The sequence below is a fragment of the Homo sapiens genome, chromosome 22 (genome assembly GCF_000001405.40).
Source record: "Homo sapiens chromosome 22, GRCh38.p14 Primary Assembly".
Taxonomy (NCBI): Eukaryota; Metazoa; Chordata; class Mammalia; order Primates; family Hominidae; genus Homo; species Homo sapiens.
Window position 1 is genome coordinate 35,750,735 of NC_000022.11, and position 20,180 is coordinate 35,770,914.

The 20,180-nt window shown below is 37.1% G+C and overlaps 1 protein-coding gene across 57 annotated transcripts in view; it reads right to left on the reverse strand.

Moving 5' to 3' along the window:
* RBFOX2 (RNA binding fox-1 homolog 2) overlaps positions 1 to 20,180 on the reverse strand; it is a 290,089-nt gene that overhangs the window by 11,999 nt on the left and 257,910 nt on the right. For 18 of the 57 annotated variants that reach the window (NM_001082579.3, XM_006724186.3, NM_001082578.4 and 15 more), the window contains 6 exons: positions 17,523 to 17,615; positions 14,689 to 14,749; positions 10,681 to 10,734; positions 10,468 to 10,560; positions 9,154 to 9,298; positions 5,371 to 5,410 (listed from right to left, as the gene is read on the reverse strand). In NM_001082579.3, coding sequence (NP_001076048.2) covers positions 5,371 to 5,410; positions 9,154 to 9,298; positions 10,468 to 10,560; positions 10,681 to 10,734; positions 14,689 to 14,749; positions 17,523 to 17,615 — 486 coding nt within the window. Of the gene's footprint in view, positions 1 to 1,878; positions 1,922 to 5,370; positions 5,411 to 9,153; positions 9,299 to 10,467; positions 10,561 to 10,680; positions 10,735 to 14,688; positions 14,750 to 17,522; positions 17,616 to 20,180 lie in introns of all 57 variants that reach the window. The other 39 variants (NM_001394108.1, NM_001394113.1, XM_005261429.3 and 36 more) reach the window with 9 other exon arrangements.

The window sequence follows — 20,180 nt, forward strand, 5'->3', positions numbered from 1 at the left end:
CCTGACCCACAGCACTCACATGTATGCTCGCCCTCTGTCAACAACCGTATATTCTAATCCACAGCATTCTGCTAAAATATTTCCTGTGTTTAGGAATTTTACTTTTTCACATATCTGTAACCTATCTCTGACTTCAAGTTCCAGCTTCTTCAAAGGAAAATGCCTTTGAAAAGTTGGCTTTAAGATCCTTTCCAGTGTTTTCTGCAGTTGTTAAAGTCTCAGTTTTTCATGGCTCAATGTCATCTCCTAGGGCTTTTCTACTCTGCTCTGAGCCAATTTTATCATCAAATTAACTTTATGATGTTGCCACGTTGACCACATGATCTTTCGGCACAGTTCTGTAGCTGGGTTTTAAACTAGAGCAAAATACAATAGAATATAATCCCTCCTATATCTGACCTTTATCTGCATATTTATTAGTTTAATCTCACACTGGCAGACTTTTGCCTTGTCTTGATTTTAACCTAGCTTTTAATTTTATTATATTTTTGTTTTAGGTTTACATTAAAACAGGACTTTGGTGAGCATGTGATGTCAAGACACCTTCTTTCTACCCGGAAGACAATGACATTATGTGACACTGAGGAGGAGAGTGTGTATTTCAAGACCAGCAGACAAAATGAAAGCTTGTTACCTACATGTAGTGTATAGATCAATAGAGCAGAGGGTTGGGGGATGGCGGCAGGGGGTGGGTAAGGAATGGCAGGTGTGATGCTGAAAATCACTACAGCAGAGCAGAGATCTATTCCAACTAGCGTGGGTTTAATGCTGGGCCTCCAGGAATCACTTTATTTATCCTTGGATGAATCTAACTCCCTCTTTTTCCTCACCACCTCCCCACCCCTGCTAAGAACCATGGTTCTAGGAGATATTATAGAGTTCTTTTGTGGCAAAATGGCATCACTGATTAAATGTGAGTAACACACAAACTTACAATAATGGTGATACCGTCACTGCTTTTGATTGAGCTCTGTCTCCTTTGAAAAGTACTTATGAAAAAAATTTTAAAGTATTTAAATTTTATCTTATTATTGTTTAAAATTGGGGTTAAGGGAAAAAATTGCTATGATCAACCTGATGTCTTCCACCTATTATTTCTATGGTAGATGAGAGACGATTTTCAATAATCAAACCTTTCAAACATTATTATTCCACATCTCCCCAAATTAGTTCATTTCCAAAATCTTGCTGGGTAGCCACATAAATAAACTGGATTGTGAAAAGCCATCGACTATTTTCTTTCTCCTAGCATCCAGCTATCAGCAATCCTTCTAACAAGTATGCTATTATCCAAATGAACTCACTGATCTTCTTAGGTGAAAGGAGAAGAGGCCAAGGGAAATGCATGTCTCAATGTTTGAGTCCCATATGTCTAGATTTTTAAGGCAACTTCAAACTTATGTAGCAGCACAGTCCAATTACAACTGGTATCTCACTACAGGGCCCAATGTGGGATTCAGAAATCCTATTTGTACAGTTCTACTTCCTCTTTTTTCTCTTTTCTAAATTTATAGTAGTAAGAAAATGTCCCCAACTGCTAAGATCTAAATATAAAAAAACAGTTTAAATACCACAGGTACATGTGACTGACAGATTAAAAGAGGTGGCAGTGATGGGACAGTGCATATTACACACCTGGCTGGGATATGTGTCAAGAGGACAGGAGCACTTAATTTTAGAGGAAGTGCCATTATGTACGGAATGTGACTGTGGGCACTGCTGAGGTAGCAGGGCTTAGATCACACGCTCACAAGTCTTGATTGTCCAAAAAAGCCTCTGTTCCCATCTCTAACGTGGAGCTGGAATGGTTAGTATAATTCAATTTTTTCACTGCAATCCACAATCTGATTGATTGGCAGGTCACACTGGCACTCCTACCTGAGGTATTTTAGCGCTAATGATTGGTTCCTGTAAGACTATTCTATAACAGAACACAGGAAGAGCAGTTCAAAAAACACAGCTGTGGAAGGAAAACAATCATACAAAAAGCCCACTAAGGGGCCCACCAGCCTTTTCTTTCCTTTGGATGCAAGCATGCTTTTCACAGGAGGTGATTTAGGAGCAGTTTGTTAACCCATTTAAAAAGTGAATTAGGGCGAACTATGCCTTTTCTACTGGCCAAAAAAGAAGAGGGAGGGCTGGATACATAATCTAGCTGCCACACTCCCAAATCCTATCACGGTAGGTCTTTTTACAAACTAGGAACAGAATTGCTAGATCAGTTCTCCAGAGAGGAATGTGCCATAAAAGAAACAGAAAGTAAATGGCTAGCAGGAATCACTGTCTAAGAATGGGACTGTGAAAGGGATTACAAAAACCTTGCACAATTAATAGCCTAAATTCATTTAACTTAAGCATAACCAGCAATTTAAAATCTTTTCCCTTGTGTCTTCTCTTCAAGCTCCGATTCGGTGCACTTTTCATACTAAACTCTCTATTCCTTCTATTTCTAATATGCCTTTCGGAGGAAATAAGAACTAAATGTATGCTGACAGATTTCCACAGATGGGAAATGTATGGAGAGAAGCAGAACAAACTCAAGGCAAAAATGATAGTGTTTTGTTGTCTGTGTGTTTTTGAAGAAGTATCCTTTGCTCCCTCACATGTGGAATACAGAACACACAGTTTTAAAAGCAACAGTTGTATTAGGCCTAACTCAGTAGTTACCTCATAAAGTATTCTTGCTTTTCATGTAGGGGCATGGATATTATTTCAGCACTAGTGACCAACCTTTTTTTCTCTAAGTAACTCTGCTTTAAGATAAGAACTAAGAAATAATAACATTACTATTAATTACTTTCATTAACAAGGGGCCACTGGTCAAAAAAAATTATTTCAGCAAGATCACTGAATTACTTGTGTTTAGCTCAGCAAGGTAATCCAGTTAGTAGATTAAAAAAAAAAAACCAAGAGTATTTTATTAACAGGAACAGAAAAATCATCTGTCTCAATAAAATCTTACATTGTAAAGTAAGGAAGTAAGATAACTATTAAAAAATTGGGTTGGTTGACTTAACAAGTTTGAAGTAGACAAGTCTTTTTTTTTTTTTTTTTTTTTTTTTTTTTGAGACGAAGTCTAGCTCTGTCAGCCAGGCTGGAGTGCAGTGGTGCAATCTCGGCTCACTGCAACCTCTGCCTCCAGGGTTCAAGTGATTCTCCTGCCTTGGCCTCCCAAGTAGCTGAAACTACAAGCGTGTGCCACCACGCCTGGCTAATTTTTGTATTTTTAGTAGAGATGGGGTTTCGCCATCTTGGCCAGGCTGGTCTCGTACTCCTGACTTCAAGTGATCCCCCTGCCTCGGCCTCCCAAAGTGCTGCGATTACACACGTGAGCGATGATGCCTGGCCAAAGTAGGCAAGTCTTTTTTTTTTTTTGAGACGGAGTCTCACTCTGTCACCCAGGCTGGACTGTAGTGGCACGATCTCAGCTCACTGTAAGCTCTGCCTCCCAGGTTCATGCCATTCTCCTACATCAGCCTCCCGAGTAGCTGGGACTACAGGCGCCCGCCACCACGCCTGGCTAATTTTTTGTATTTTTAGTAGAGACAGGGTTTCACCATGTTAGCCAGGATGGTCTCCATCTCCTGACCTCATGATCTGCCCGCCTCGGCCTCCCAAAGTGCTGGGATTACAGGCCTGAGCCACTGTGCCCGGCCCAAAGTAGGCAAGTCTTAATAAGACATAAATAGGTTGTATTTAAGAAAAATAAATCCTCAAATAAGAAACACATTAGAGAAAAAAACTTGATTTAAGAAATAACTCAAATGGAAAATCTTGTTCTAATAGATCAGATTTCAAGAAAACAAGTTAAATAACAAAGATGAGTTTCATGAGAATATGGACACTAATGTATATGGGAGAATGTACATGCTAACATCATATGTAAGTCTGTGTATTTAGAAATATGTAATCTGGTGTAAAAGTAGGAGATTCCCCAGTTCTCAAGCTTCACTGTGAACATAGGAAAAAAGATATCTTTCATTACTTGTTGAAAATATTTTGAGGAAAGAGGTGGATTTTAATTAAAGTACAAAGAGAGGTAATGAAATATGGATTGGTTGGGTTTTATGCCTGACTATTAATAATTTATGTAGTTCTGGGTAAGTCTCTGAGAAATATATCTGTAAGTTAGGAGGTTGGACCAAATCATAGCTGAGGTTCCTTCAAGTAGTTATTAAATTAAGGCATACCTTACAGGCCTATGCTAAGTAGTACAGGTGAGTCACCTGTATTTCGAAGAACTGTATCATCCCATCTCTACTTCCTGCAAAACGCAAAACCTCTGAGTGCATTCTGAAAGTGCATTAACTTTTTTAGGTTGCTTGTGAATCTCTGGTAGACTGTGGAAACAGTTCACTAAAAAGGACCTCTTATTGATTTTGGAAAGTAAGGGTGGAGAAAGTATTTCTAGACAATTTTAACCTATCCCCACAGAATCATTTCATGCTGACAAGTTTTTCTTATAAAAATTTTCCCTTGATGACTTGAGCGACTAAATCAAGCTTGCATTCAGAAAAAGTCCATCTGGAGAGGTCATGATAAAAGACTTCAAAACTCAAAAACTTGTACTTTGTCAATTATATCACTTTGTCCACATTTTAAATAATATGTGACAAACCAATCATGGAACTTTAGTGATAGCTAGACAGTTTAAATAATGGAGTCCATATTACTATGGCTAGTAGAGTCAGCAAATCTATGATAGTCAAATAGCTGTAAGAAGAGTCTGGGTTGCTGATTATGCTACTCATTTCCTCCAATGGCTTTTAAGAACTAAATATCTGGCGTTTTCTCATTACTACACACTCTTTGCTGGCATCGGTTCCTTATTTGGCTATCACAAGGTCATGTTCTCTCAAAGTAGGTAAAATAGGAAAATGTACAGTTCAGAAAGCTTATTAACCTCTAAATCACAGCTCTAATGATCTAAAGAGGGATGTGAAATGAGAAGAAAAGCAGAAAAGGGAAAGAGCTGGTTTAAGGTTAAGCTAGTCCTGTTATTTATGTATGCAAATGACACGACAATAATAAAAGACTTTAAACCTGCTGATCATCTCACAAGTAAATTAATGATCCACAGAACATCTGTGGGTATAGGGAAGGGAAAAGAATATGTCCAGTAGACTGACCCTTGCAATGATCAGGAAACCCAAAGGCTTAGTTTTTGCACCCAGGGGCAAGCGCAGTGGCAGAGAAGCATGCTTGCATTCTTAAATATATAAATATATATATATATATATCCACAAGGAAAAAGAAAATAAAAATTAAATAAATTAAAAGGAAAAAAACCAAACCAAACCAAAGAAACAGAAAAAAAAAGGCTGGCTTGTCAGGGGATGGGGTCGAGAAGGCCCCAGTGTGTGTACTTACATAGAGGTCAGCACCGTAAAATCCGTCCTGGTAAACCACACTGCAGAAAATCCACACAAAAACAAAAACAAAAAAAACAAAAGAACAGAAACACATTCCGGTTATTGAGGACGGCAGCATGCACATGCGCTCTACACAGGCAGGTGATGTATGAATACATAACCTGGGCTTGGGGCCTCGGCAAGTTGGTGAGAAAATGTGAAAGTGCACACGAAGGTTACACAGCTCCAGGACATGCGAGGAGAGGGAAAGGTGTGCAAAACTAGAATGCGCAACCTGGATATTTGGTAATTAAAGTAGGATTCACACAATAAAAAGCACTCCTAGAAGAGCCTATTATATCTATCCAAAATCTGCTGGCTTGGAAATAACTTTTTGTATATGGAGTATTTTTAAAAATAAGCTTGCCCTAGGAGGAAGTTTCTTTTTAAAGAGCTTACAAAGTAGGGTAGGGGTGAAGAGGAGTTTAACATGAAAAACTGAACCCAAAGAATTCCACTAGGGCAGGGCCTGTATGCAAAGTATGTTTTTACATTACGTTTAAGTATTTTGTTTTCAGTATTGTAATAATATGTAAATGTTTTTCTGATATCCATACATCACCTGCTTTTTACCCTGCACATTAGACATGCGATAAGATTTGGCTGATCACACAAGCATGCAAAGTATTATTATTCAGCATTTTAAGAACCAATGCAACACCTCAGAAAAACAAGTCAATCAATTCTGACCAAAGTAAACAGAGAAATGTAATTAAAAAAAAAACACAACCAAAAATACCCACAATGCATTGCTTTCACAAGCAGAGATAATGAGCTAAAGGTTAAGGTGATTGGTCCAAGGTCCAAGAATTGAAAGGTGCAGTGGGGATCCCAGATAGTAACAATATAATCCAGAGTGGGAAGGAGTAACTGGAAGATTTTAAGGGTTCTTTTTTGACTATAAGAGTATTCATGGAATTCTGAAAAATACAATTGATAACTGAAGTTCTGGGCTTGACCAAAGATCACCCTGTCTTATTTAAAAGAATACATCTGAGAAGGTAGCTGGTTAAGAATAGAAGGGTTTATTTTCCTGTTTAGATAATGAATTTGTAGCAAACAGACAATGCATGACTTTAAAAAAAAAAAAAAAACAAAACCTAAGCAACACTATATTCTTAAGTATAGATTTCCAACCTTCTGAGGTACCTTTGTGCATACAGACTTATACAGACTTTCCCCAAAACATTATTTTGGGACCAAAGGACATGGAATAGCAGTAGAGATAAAAGATAAAACTTTCTTCTTCATCTCTGTGAAGTCAAGATCAGATTGTTTTAATTTAGATGATCTGTTTATTGGTTATTCAACTAAACAAGCTGGAAATTTTCACCACTACCTTCTCTGTTACAATAAACAAGCTGACAAGTAAAGTCATCAAATCATATTTTTAACTTGAATATGAAATAACTTATTTCTTATAGGTAGGTGGAATGTTTCTTAATTCTATTTCCAATGACATTTGGTTGTATTTACAGGATAGCATGGTCACATTTTGGAATGCCCCAAATATGCTATGCCCTTGTATCACACAAAAGGCAAATCAAACTCATCTCTGATGTTCATTTAGCTAAGTCCCATTCATTTTCATAGTCTCCAGTTGCAGTTAAAGTCTGATATTAGAAAGTAATCTGCCTCTCAGCTGCATTTTAAGGAAAAAAACAACTTGTTCAAAATGAGAAGGCTGATAAAATGGAAAGCACTGAGACCAAGTGGTGATTAATTAAACTTCAAAGATCTTAGTAAGGGGATATAGGCAAAGATTTACAAATAAGCCTTCTATAAAGAAGGGTTGGCATTAAAAACACGAATACATTTTACCCTAAGTCAAATAACTTATTGGGAATATTCATCTACGTTCTAGAAGAATCCCAATATTCCCTGTATCAAATGCCACAAGGAGGCTAGAAACGTAATGATTAATGATGAAATTAGTTTACTAAGCTGAAAAGCAATTCTAGGCCATTCCCATGAAATACTGGACTTATTCCTTGCCATCTTCCATGTAAACAGGTGGTTTAGTTAATAAAAAGAAAACATGGGAAATCAGTGTTCAATGTAATGCACAGAAATTGATATGATTAGACATAAAGATAAAATATCTTTGAGCAAATATATACCTGACACAGACTTGGTAGAGAATGGGTTCTCAAGTTTGGTCAATATACTGAAACGACTACATTGAACAGGACTAAATTCAACCACTTTATAAAGTAATTCAGCAATGTTACAAAATAAGGAAGTCCCATGTTTCTGGTGAGTAGTCTCTCTTTGCAAATATGACAGTAAATTCTCTTGGATTACAACGGAAGACATTTCACAAACAATTTTCCTAGTGTGTAAAACTTCCAAAAGGTTCCTTTTAATGTTTCATTTGAGTATTTCTTGATGAAATAATACTGCATATTCACTTCTTTAAAGAGATGTCAGAGGTTGAAGGTCAAAGGTCAAGTTGAGAGAAAAAAGGATTAAAATAAAAGTAAGTAATGGCATAAGATGGAGATGATGGAATGCATGTGATTTAAATGTCTACAAACTCCAAACAAAAGTTAATTTCTGAAGCAGTTCCCTTCCAGTGTCTTTTGGAGCCTGCCCACTTCAACATACCTTGTCTAATAAAAATGTTTTAACTCTGTGGAATGGAGAACTTCTAATGGTACATCCATTTGGTCTATGAATGAATGAATGAATGAATGCTAAATTAGTACACCTCAAGGCTAAGCCAATTTTGCTGTCAGAAAAGGACATACAAAGGAGGTTCCTTCCCTTTATATTTTAACTAAGTAGCAGCCAACAAGCTTCTCTGCTGCTACTTATTCCTCCGTAAGAATACAAAAAAAAATATGTCATATTGACATTATCTGGCAGAGAAAAGGTGAAGAGAAATGTCACATCTTTGATGAGGAAGTCCTTGGTACAACTGACTCATGAAAGACCACTCTATAAAAATTTGCATTTTAGGCTGACACTGAGAAACCCCTAAAAACAAAACCTGCCATCTTCACTCCTTTTCCCCATTCAGTAGCAAAGGATTTATTTGTTGCTATGGAATCATTCCACTGCATGAGACACCCTCCATAAAAAAATCAAACGGTGAAGGATGCTCAGCTACAGTCGCTGTTTTACCATCATTCAGAAGCCAACTGCAGTTTAATTCTTCCTACTTCTCCCTTTCTCCCTTGATTCAATTGGACTTGGTTCATCTTAGAATTAACCTCTTTTAATCCGTTTCCTACAAAGAAAGCAAATCCATTGTGGGTAACTAGCTCTGCTGCTCACCACCCAGGCAGTGAAACCAAAGGGGAGGACACATGTGACAGCCTCTGCCCCAACACGGGGTGGTGATAAGGAGGTGAACACAGCAGATGCAGGCTTGTACTACAATCTTGAGCTCCTCTTTTGGTTCTCTGCAGTAATGTTAATCCATATTCGTGCGCTTCTGAGTGAACTTCATGCCAACACACTGCTAGTAAACACAAGACGGTTCTGGCTACTGTCTTAAGCCATTACCATGAGGGCTTAAGGTGGCCAAAATGAAGACTTATAATGAATTGACAGTTTGTCACATTCTGATGATGGTATATTTTGTTTTTTGTCATCTAATCTGTTAATTTGCAAATATTCACTGAATGCCTACTCTGTGACACGGCAACATCCCAGAAGTTATGAAAGGGCCATGGTATTCTTTTTTGGTCCAACTGCTTATTTTAGAAACATACTGATTTTGGAATCTAACGCTTACCCTGGATAGGCGGGGATGGCTGTTGGAGGTACCGCTCGGACTGCACCATATACTGTCCGCCCTCTGCCCCTCAAATGGGCTCCTCTGAAAGCGGCTGCCGTGGTGGCTGCAGTAGGGTAAGGGAAGCCAGGAACTAAAGGGAGACCCAAAATATGACAGAAATTTCAACTTGCATTCAATAGAAGGTGCACAGTCACAACTTGCTATGAACCAATTATAGAAAAGATGGAAAGATACGAACCACACCTTTTTGGAAAAGGTGGCATGCATTCAATAAACGTTCTACCCTGGGTCTCTCAGTGGGGAAGAAATGGAAAGAGAGACCCAACATGCAAAAGCAAAAGATTCCATGCCTCATTCATCACAAATCTTGAGTGAGCTTCTCTGTTCCTTCTCAATTTCAGCTTTACAATGCAAGCTGCTGAGAAACAGGTCAAGAAGCTCTGAGAATGACTGCCATAATAAGAGACAGACTTTTAATTACTGTGGGCAGTCTAAATCAGATTGACACAAACTCTTCAACCGGTCAGTTATTAACCTTGCTTCCCAATGTTACTATGTCCACATAATAATTATTACTCAAAAGAACATTCTTTTTATATTTTTACATGGTACCAACCTCTAAGGCACATAATAGTCTTTAGACATTTCATTTCATTAGTCAATTTCATTCTTTTATTTAAAACATTTTAATCCACAAATGTAAGGTGAGGGAAACAACTCCTACCCTGTCCTTTAAAGAGGCAGACAATTTCTAGGGGCCTCATATCCTTTAAAGAGGCAGACAATTTCTAAGAGCCTATTTTAAGTGTGCTGTCCTCTGGAAAGCATGCAGAGACATTGATTCCATGTCCACTGAATCCTGTTTAATTATACCTCTTGCTGGAGTAAAATGGCTCAGGTCAAAATGACTTAGAGAGATCAAGAGAGCTGGGAATAATCAATAATACTGGAAGTACTTCTAAGTGATCCTCTGCTGGAGAACCTGTGGCTGACTCGCAGAGGAAATGTATAATATGCTCTACACATACTTGCTTCTTTTGTTTTCTTTATCGTCAAGTACAGACTAAAATATTCTTCATATGCCCTTACCCCCTCTACCTTTTCCAACTATTTCTGCTTTGTGCAATCTTAATATTTGGTCAGGAAAATTCTAGCACAGGTTAAGCAGGACAGGGCACTGGGATAGTATTTAATATCCCTCTCAAGAAATTTCCATTTCAGTTATGTACTGTACTAGGAAAAAAAAAAACAGTACATGATAGTTCACTCACAACAGTCAAAATCCATGCCAGGCCAACATAGGCTACTTACTGATTAAAGGAATGTAAGTGTTGATACCCCCTCTTCCTGATAGGGGCACTGCTGCATCATTGCCTAGGGACACATCTGCTTGAAAGCTGGATGCTGATTGGATTTTTAAAAAATTTAAAAATGCAAGAAGATTAAAAAGGAGTCACAAATTGAAAAACAGCAGATGCTATTACAATTAAATAGCACAAGTGGAAACATTTACTTAAATACTACCTGCATATAACTCCGGACCATATACAGCTCCAACTACTGGGCTTAATTTCCAACCTGAAACACACAAAATGGAAGGTAAGCATTTAAGACTGTTTGAGGAAAGGGATGATCAGTGCATGTCAAGTTGGCTTCAGCCATCTCTGGGGCTATTTTTGCCTATTATCAACTTCTCTTTGGAATTCCAGCTTGGGGTTTATATGAGAGAGTAACAGTAGTAGAACTAGGACACAGTGAAGAGATAATGAGGGGCTGGGGCTGGGGGGCTTGGCAGGTGTCATGATGTTGGGAGGAGGAAGATGGAGAGGGAATGAGAGGAGAAAAAATAAATAGAAATAAATCCTAGAGTTTGGTAAAGTGTTCTCACAGAATTACCCTGGATGACCTATCCTTCATTTAAAAAAAGAAGGCCGACTATATGTCACTCTGAACCATGCTGTGATGCATTTTCTCAACCCTGTTTATTACTCTAGTTGTTTTAATAAAGGTATCCATGGGCTGAACTCAAATTCAACCTAGATCTTTGACTCCATGTTTGGCTATACAATGCTGGTATTCCAGGTAAACTGAAATCCACTTTTACTCGGATTTACCATTGGGATTTTACTGGGGTTCACCAACTAAAAAAGGAAAGACATGAAATAGTAAAATTCAAGGTACATTCCCAACTTCAGTGCATGTTTTCTGAGGCTTTAATGTGTAATAATCACCTTTAAGTTAATCAGACTTCTTAGCTAAAGAACACCAGAATACTGTGGAACATTAGCTTAAATATTTATAAATATTAAGAGTTTCCAAATAACATTATGTTTAATGTCAACTTTATTTCTTCTTTCCCTTTTTTATATTTATAGGAATATGGCAAGTATTTTTTAAAAAGGAATAATATACGATTGCTCACTGCGAGTGAATAAAAGTAGAATTCCACATGAAAACTTTAATCAATATTAACTGAATTTTACATATAAGCAAAAATACTCTATATTATATATTTTCTGACTCATTTGTCTTTTTATATTAAGACCCTAGCATTGTGCCACACTATTCTATAAATATACGAATGAAAAGAAAAAGGCCAGAATTGGCCTCCTCTTTTTTTTTTTTTTTTTTTTTGAGACAGAGTCTTGCTCTGTCACCCAGGCTGGAGTGCAGTGGCGCAGTTTCGGCTCACCACAACCTCGGCTCCTGGGTTCAAGTGATTCTCATGCCTCAGCCTCCCAAGTAGCTGGGACTACAGGCACGTGCCACCATGCCTGGCTAGTTTTATACTTTTAGTAGAGATGGGGTTTCACCATGTTGGCCAGGCTGGTCTTGAACTCCTAACCTCAGGTGATCCACCCGCCTCAGCCTCCCAGAGTGCTGGGGATTACAGGCTTGAGCCACTGCGTCCAGCCACAATTGGCCTTTTCAAAAGAATTATTGAAATTACCAGATTTAAATGACTGTAAGCAAGACATTATTCAAGTGAAAACCTATTCACTCTGATTCAATCCAATCTCTTATTCATCATTTTATGTGCTCATAAAATGCAATGTCTCTTCAATATTCCACATAAAATTCTGGCAAAATCTAGGTTCAAATCCTACTTGAATTGTAAGAACACAAATATTCTGCAACATCAAATTACACAAATACTGTGCAACATTTCTGCACAAATTAAGAGATTCCAACCAACCTAAATGAGAATGCTGACTGAGAATTCATTAGGAGGAACCCAACAAATTCTTCTTAGGACCTTTAACACAATAGCAGAAGGTTTCTTGCCTACTAAACCTGAATATTAATTTAGAATAATATTTTAAAAAATAACCTTTTTCTTTCCTACCAATGCCACTATTGCCTGAGCATTCCCTTTAAATCCACATAATGGGCAGGCACCGTAGCTCAAGCCTGTAATCCCAGCACTTTGGGAGGCTGAGGCGGAGGGATCACCTGAGTCTAGGAGCTCGAGACCAGCCTGGCCAACATGGCAAAACCTCGTCTCTACTAAAAATACAAAAATTAGCCGGATGTGGTGGCACACACCTGTAATCCCAGCTACTCTGGAGGCTGAGGCACGAGTATCGCTTGAACCCGGGAAGTGGAGGTTGCAGTGAGCTGAGATCGCACCACTGTACTCCAGCCTAGGTGACAGAGAGACTCTGCCTCAAAACAAAAACAAAAATCAATATAATGGATGTATATTGACATGTTGTTAGTAATACTTTGAATATATTTAGTTTTAGAAAATTTACAATGTATTTTCACAGATGCCCTTTGACCTTCACAAAACCCAAAGAGGAAGGTAAAATAGATACCACATCTGCAATCTGAGGTCAATACTATACTTTTCTGGGTCTCATTTCCTAATAATAAGCTGGGAGGGTTGAGTTTCAATAATTTCTTAAAAAATCCTGGTGCCAAAAATCTGTGGTCTCAATTTATAAATATGAAAACAGAATTAGGTTAAAAAACTGGTCCACTGTCACGGAGTAAATAAAGAGTCAAACCTAGAAGGAGAACGTCTGTTTTCTGAATTCCAGTCAGAGGCTCTTTCTGTCACAATATTTCCCTTAGATGTAAAGAAAATTTGACATTCTTTGCCTCTCCTTTCTATTTTGTTTACTTTGAGTTTTTATCAAAATTGTAGAGACTTGTTTTTGTAAGAGCAGTGAAAAGAAAATAAGAGGTAAAGTGGGAGGCAGTGGTATCATACCGATAAAAGGAGTAAGGAAAAATGCAAATTATGCTGATAAATTTGTATCATCTATGTGAAAAGCTGGGCTAAATATATTTATTGAAGACTTTATGGGATATAGTCAATACGGATACATTTCTCCTTGATTTAAGACATTATTAGCACATACAGCCATACTCTAGCAGTGGGTTCAAACTTTTTAAAAAAACAGCAGAGCCAGGCATGGTGGCTCACGCCTGTAATCCCAGCACTTTGGGAGGCCACGGTGGGCGGATCACGAGGTCAGGAGGTTGAGACCATCCTGGCTAACACGGTGAAACCCCATCTCTACTAAAAATACAAAAAATTAGCCAGGTGTGGTGGCGGGCGCCTGTAGTCCCAGCTACTCGGGAGGCTGAGGGCAGGAGAATGGCGTGAACCTGGGAAGCAGAGCTTGCAGTGAGCCTTGATTGCGCCAGTGCACTCCAGCCTGGGTGACAAAGCGAGACTCCGTCTCAAAAAAAAAAAAAAAAAAACTCCAGCAGAAACTCCCCCCTTTATTCTAGATATTAGTAAAAGCTTATGCAGAACCCTAATTGCTCAGACTAAAGTACAGCTGAGACCTCAGAATTCAATCCATTTGGTTTCCTTTTTCTCTCCCAAACTGGCTCTGCAGAACAGTCTGCAAAACCACCACTGGGCTACAGATTAAATTTATATTCCATCTCATTCAGAGACCATGAGTCTAGATTAAATTTGGTAACTGATGTAACAAATTATTCATAGAAAATTTCCTTCTCAATGAGAAAAACTTATAAACCTTACTATATAATATGTAATCATGAAACAGAAAATGATACACACACAACCATACCCATGGCTGTTATCTCTAGGGCTAAGGAGAGCAACAGGTCCAGAATTATAAAAGTGATTAAAATATCCTCCTAATTTATTCCACTTATGCTCAGATGAATGAAAGTCAGAACTAAAAGTAAGAGTCAGTGGGCATCCAGGGGTATTACGGACAAGTCTAACATATTAGAAAGAGCTACAGCAGCTGAAAAAGAAGGTGCTCAGGTGGGATCCAATTTGGGTTAATAGGCAACTAGATAGCATGTTTGCACTGTGTAAAAGATGAACATTACTTAGAACATAACACCTTAATAACTAAAAACTTAGCTCAATTGTAATGACAAAGTTATTCTGTAAAAATAAAATACTCTCCCAGGTAAAGAGACTACTTCAACACAAATCAAACTGTCTTAAGACGGAAATAAAGACATTCTTAGAAGTTTATAAAAACTTCATATATTTACACAAGAATAAACACTCTTTCGAAGATTATAATTTCTTACCATTTGCATATGGTGTGACCATCTTCTTATTGGTCATTACACGTGCTGTAGCATTATTCACCTAAAAATAACAAGGAGAAAAAAGGGCAGGGAAGAAGTGGACCACATTAGGGAACATAAAGTTGCACATCCAATAACAGAGTATTTAGTTTAAAATGTAAATTTCTGAGAGCAGTGATTTAAATAATTAACACAGCAATATAAAATATTAATATATAGTATTTTAATTAAAGTTCTTATCAAATGAGGATAACAAGAGTAAAGTGAGTTTCTTGGTTTCCAAATATCAGTACTCCAAAGAAAATACATTTGCAAGATCTTTGGACATCTTTTTAACAGAGAAATCTCTGCACTAAGGAAAACACAGAAAAAAGTAAATAGGAAACTATATTAGCAATTCACTTTGAAGTCTGTTAATAAAACAGAGGCTTGCCACATGGGTTATGAAATAGATTGATGGAAAGGTGATAAAATAAATCTGATTTCACCTGTCCTAATGTTCAGCATTTTAAATATGTCTGTCAGAGATTTTTACTGTCTGAGGTAAGTAAACAAATATAGAAACCTAAGATTCCCCTGCTGACAGCCTTCAGGACCATTCTGAATTTTCTAGACTACATGGTCTATCAATTTAAGAACAAAGCTTTTAAGAAAGCCTTTAAAGTAGGCACTTAAAAGAATTGAGAAAATAAAGTGTTTATTTATTTTGTTTTATGGTACTCTCCACCCTCATTACAGAACTGCATATTTTAAAGCATTCTCAGTGCTAGAGTAAGTAGGTGTTACAAAGATGCTGCTGCTGAAGAAAAGATGAATGGAACTAAGATGTCAGCATACTGCAGCCCAGTGACAGAACCAGTCTCAAAGCTCTTGCAAGGAGGGTAAAGCTCCACCATAGAACTTGACTTATACTGTGTTGTCAGGTCATAAAACATGCCAATTGAAAAAAGAAGCATAAAATATAAATGTCTTATTTTTGCCTCTTCAAATTTACATTGTGTTCAATTTGTATGGTAATAAATTTTTGTTATGAAAAGACCAATTTTAGGTAGAATTAGAACTAAAAAAAAAACCTCTTCCTATGTCTTTTAAGATTTGTACAGTGATAATCCCCCATATGAGGAAAGAGCTTGAAACTCCATTTACTCTAGCTTCGCCCACCAAATAATATAAACGTTTCACATTTAAAAAGAAAGAATGGGATACAACAATGATGAGACTGAGAGCATGCAGTTAAAAAACACACACACACAAATAAAAGAAAGAAAAAACAATCAATTTTGGAAAGAGGGGAGAAACTGAAAAGCAAGGTTCTCACAGACAAGGATTAGAATGGAGCAAGAGCTGAAACCAGCTGCTGGAGCAGAAAGCAACCAAGCACTTAAAAGGAAAAATGGCCAGAACCAATCAGAAACCACCAGTCAGCAAAAGAGACCAACAGCTGCGTGTAACTGAAGGGATGGGAAAGGAAGAATAGGGAAAGGGACAGGAACAAGGATCCGGAAAAAGAGAGTAAGGTAGGGAAAAAGAAAAGAGAAAGTCAGGAAGGGTGTAACGGGCAAAGAAAGAACAGTCAGAGCTACAAACGGGGGTTTGGGAAACAGGAAAAGTAGGGAAGGATGTAGGGGCAGGAAGTGCATTAATAAAACCAGCCAAACTGGAGTTCAGTAACTCTGAGTAAGATGTGCAAGGGGAAAAAAATCACCATGAAGTCAGTAATCAAACAGCTCAGACCGCTACAAAACAATATGTACATCCAAAATCCAGGCGGCATTACTCAACAGCATTGAAAATAAAAGGGGGAAAGGAAAAGGAAGAGGAACAACAAGTCAAATCACATTTTGTAGTGTTAATGTGAGATGGCAGATGGACTTTTTCTTTCTTATTTAATTGTTTTGTAATTACATTTTTAAAAGCTTCTTCTCTAGTGCTTTTGTTCACTTACCGCCAACGGGCACCATCGCCAGCATTGTGTATAGTTACCATGGAAAGAGTGAGTCAAGTGAAGGGCCCTAAATGCTAAACCATTGGAAAGGAGGGGAAAAAAAGCAAAATATGCAGACATCTTACTCAAAATGGTGGCTTTTACATTTAATACTTTAAAAAATTGGGAAAGGGGAAAGGAGCCAGTTAACCTTCGATGTGTTATCAAAAAGGGCTGGTGAATACCAGGCGGTAGACTTGGTCATAATCACAGTACATTCGCCAGCCAGCCATCATACCCTCTGTTTAAGAATTTTATCCATAAAAATTTAGATACCAAAATTCTTGGTATTAGATATATTTAAAAACTACACGAGTTTTGGATTATTTCCTCCCTCCCCACAATCTCTAGAATCTTCTATTTCGTGCTTATCATGTGCACAAAGAGGCGAACTGGCCTCCCAAGAGAGAGGATATTGGCTGGCCCCTTGATTCATTATAGAACACAGTGTTATAAACTGGATAGTTTTTAGACAATTTAACATTAGTTTTGCTTAGGCCTGATCACAGGAATTCAGAGTATTGCAAACTGAAGCAAAGGAAAAAAATCAAGAGAGCAGAAAGATCAACATTTTGAAGGAAAAACATAAATGAAAAACAAACACACACACACGCACACACACACAGTCAAAATTAAAACCCCCAAACAACCAATAAATGAGGAGGGAGGCAGATAGAAGTGTTACTTTTATACATTTTAGTGCAAGAAGGTGAAGAAGACAGAGATACAAACACACATACATGTGCACACGCACACATAAGACAGGGTTCCAAATGTGAACTAAGTGAGGCAACACGAAAAAAGAGAAATAAAAATATAAACCAGAAATTGAATTATTAAAGACATGCACCTCGATTTTACGGCCCTCTACCACGGTGCCGTGTAATTTCTCCCTGGCCCTGTCTGCATCAGCACTATTCTCGAAAGTTACGAACCCGAATCCCTGCATGCAGCGGGAGAAGGGGGGAAAACATGCACATCGTTATATTGAAATACTGATCTCTTGGTAAATAGAGAAAAAATATCATAGTATGAAACTGACATCAGCAACAACTCAGCAATAATCTCCCAAAGTCACATTTTTGGTCCATGCATATTTGTAAAGGGAAATTAAATCCAATAAAAGAATAAAGAACTGTAATAATAATAATAATTAACAGCAATGTAACAATAATAAAATAAAACATAAAGCATATGAGGCCAGACCAAAATTAAGGTACAGAGTTACTCGGGTCAAACTATTCAACCAAAAATCTGAAGATTTTTTAATGCCCTACCTTTCTCTCTCAATTCATGTTATTAATTTAATATACATGCCCCTTTATGTAATACTAAAAAAGACTTAATTAAATTGACTCTCTGACATCCCAAATCTATTATTTTCCAGTAACTGCTACATGAAATCTGACATTCAGGTTCAACATTGCATAATGAGATTTTTTTTAAAGTAGGTCTAATCATTTTAGCCCCACGTTGCCTGTTGCTTTTATCACTATTAATTCCTTTGGGAACAGGATAACTTAGGGCATAGTCGGTGTACAATTTTCTATGTACTGGGTGTGGGAGAGGAGAGCATTCATGCTCTTCTAAGCAAATAAAAATATCACTAAGCAGTGGTCAATTATAACTTTTCTTCAATGCCCTTTTTAAATGACCAGATTGACACTTAGAGTAAAAATATGTTCAACTGAATTTCAGAAAACTGCTAACCCAAATTTGCCTAAATTATTCATTTATTGATGTTTATACCTGCTATTAAAGGTAGTAGTAACTTTCTATATATAGAGAAAAAAGGAACAGTCAACAGGCAATGGGAATGAGATCTACATTAGTGACATCAGTTGTACACTATTCAGTAGAAAAAGGATATCAGAAAACAGCAATGCAGCTGGTATAATGACTTAGGATTAATTTGTTTGTTCCTTGCAAGATACTATAAAAATGGAGTGGAGCTTTAACTCATTAAGTAGACAAATCAGGAGACCAGGGAGTTGACTACCTTCACTCCGATGTTCACGTACTACCAATTTTAACACCAGGAGCATTTACTATATACTTATATGACTTTCCTAAAACATCATATTCACTTCATTCTAGGTGCTCTGTCCTTATCGTTCTACTCTGCAGCTATAATTTTACAAATAATTTCCATGCTGCTTATATCTGCAAAGTGGTAAAGTCTTAGGATTTTCTACAAAGTCTTCATTTGCCAATAACTTCATTGTCCTGCTAGCGTTTTTTGAATATTCCACTGTAGGATAACCCAGAACCCTTTAATTTTAACTGAAGTTCTGCCTAGCTGCTTAATAACATGAGCACAATTCTCTCTATATAAAACATGTTCTTAACTGACACGGTAAACAATGCGCGTTGCTTAATAAAATTTTATAAAAGCAACTCCATTGTTTTGAAGGATCTGATAACTCAGCATTCTAAGTGATTATGTGGGTGGGTGGTGTTTTGGAGAATTCCAATGGATGATCTCTACCCACAATTTGGACATCACAAATACCCTTGAAAGCAAAATGCTAAGCTGATAGAGATTTTAAAACGTATGTTGCTTGGAATGAAATACTACTGGTAATTTCAGTTAATACTCTCCTAAAGAATGTGTAAGTTTGTTGAAAATATCAACAGGAACATATTTTTATAAATGAAATTTTGATATCAACATTTATAGCCACTTTGACACCACAAGGTATAAAAGGGCACATTAATAATTAGTTATACCATTTGTCATCTACACTAGCACCTGCTGAAGACAAGCTGCCAGTTCTCTAATCCTAGTGAGTCCTCCAATAGGAAAGTCAAACTTTTAAAGAAAGGTCACAGAGTGATGAGTTTTAATATCACACTTTAAGGGCATTTTGGCTGTATTTCAACTGGTCCTTACAGTCATATATTTTATGACTTAGGTTAAATTAATACATTGTAAATTAATAGTTGGATTACTATTAAGTTATATGAAAACTAAGACCTAGGTTTTTGATATTAGCATTATGACTATATCTACACACCCACATACAAATATACATACTAGTTTTTCTTCTTAAATATAACCATGAAGTAAAAAGAATAGACATATTGGTTTCATTTTGAAGGTAAAGAAACTGAGTCGAACTGAGATTAAGTACCCAAGGATATCCAGCTAATGGTGAGAAAATTCTAAGCCTTTTCAAATCTCAGTTCAGTATTCTATTTACTAAACTATATTAGTCCTAAAATCCTTCTATCTTTTTTCAAATCTAATTGCTAAGTATCTTCCATAACCTTCTTTTCTGAAATGTGTTGAAAGAACATTAGTGATACAATAACTGCATCCAAAAGAATGGAAGGTGGTATGATGAGCACTGCAATTTCACAGTCAGCAAATGTCAAAGTTTAACATTCATGTCTGCTTGGATAAGATTTTCTCAATAATGACTAACATTCTGGAACAAAATTTCACTTTCAAATGTTTTAAAAGTGTTTTATAAAGAAAGATGCTTATACACCAAAGGAAATGCGA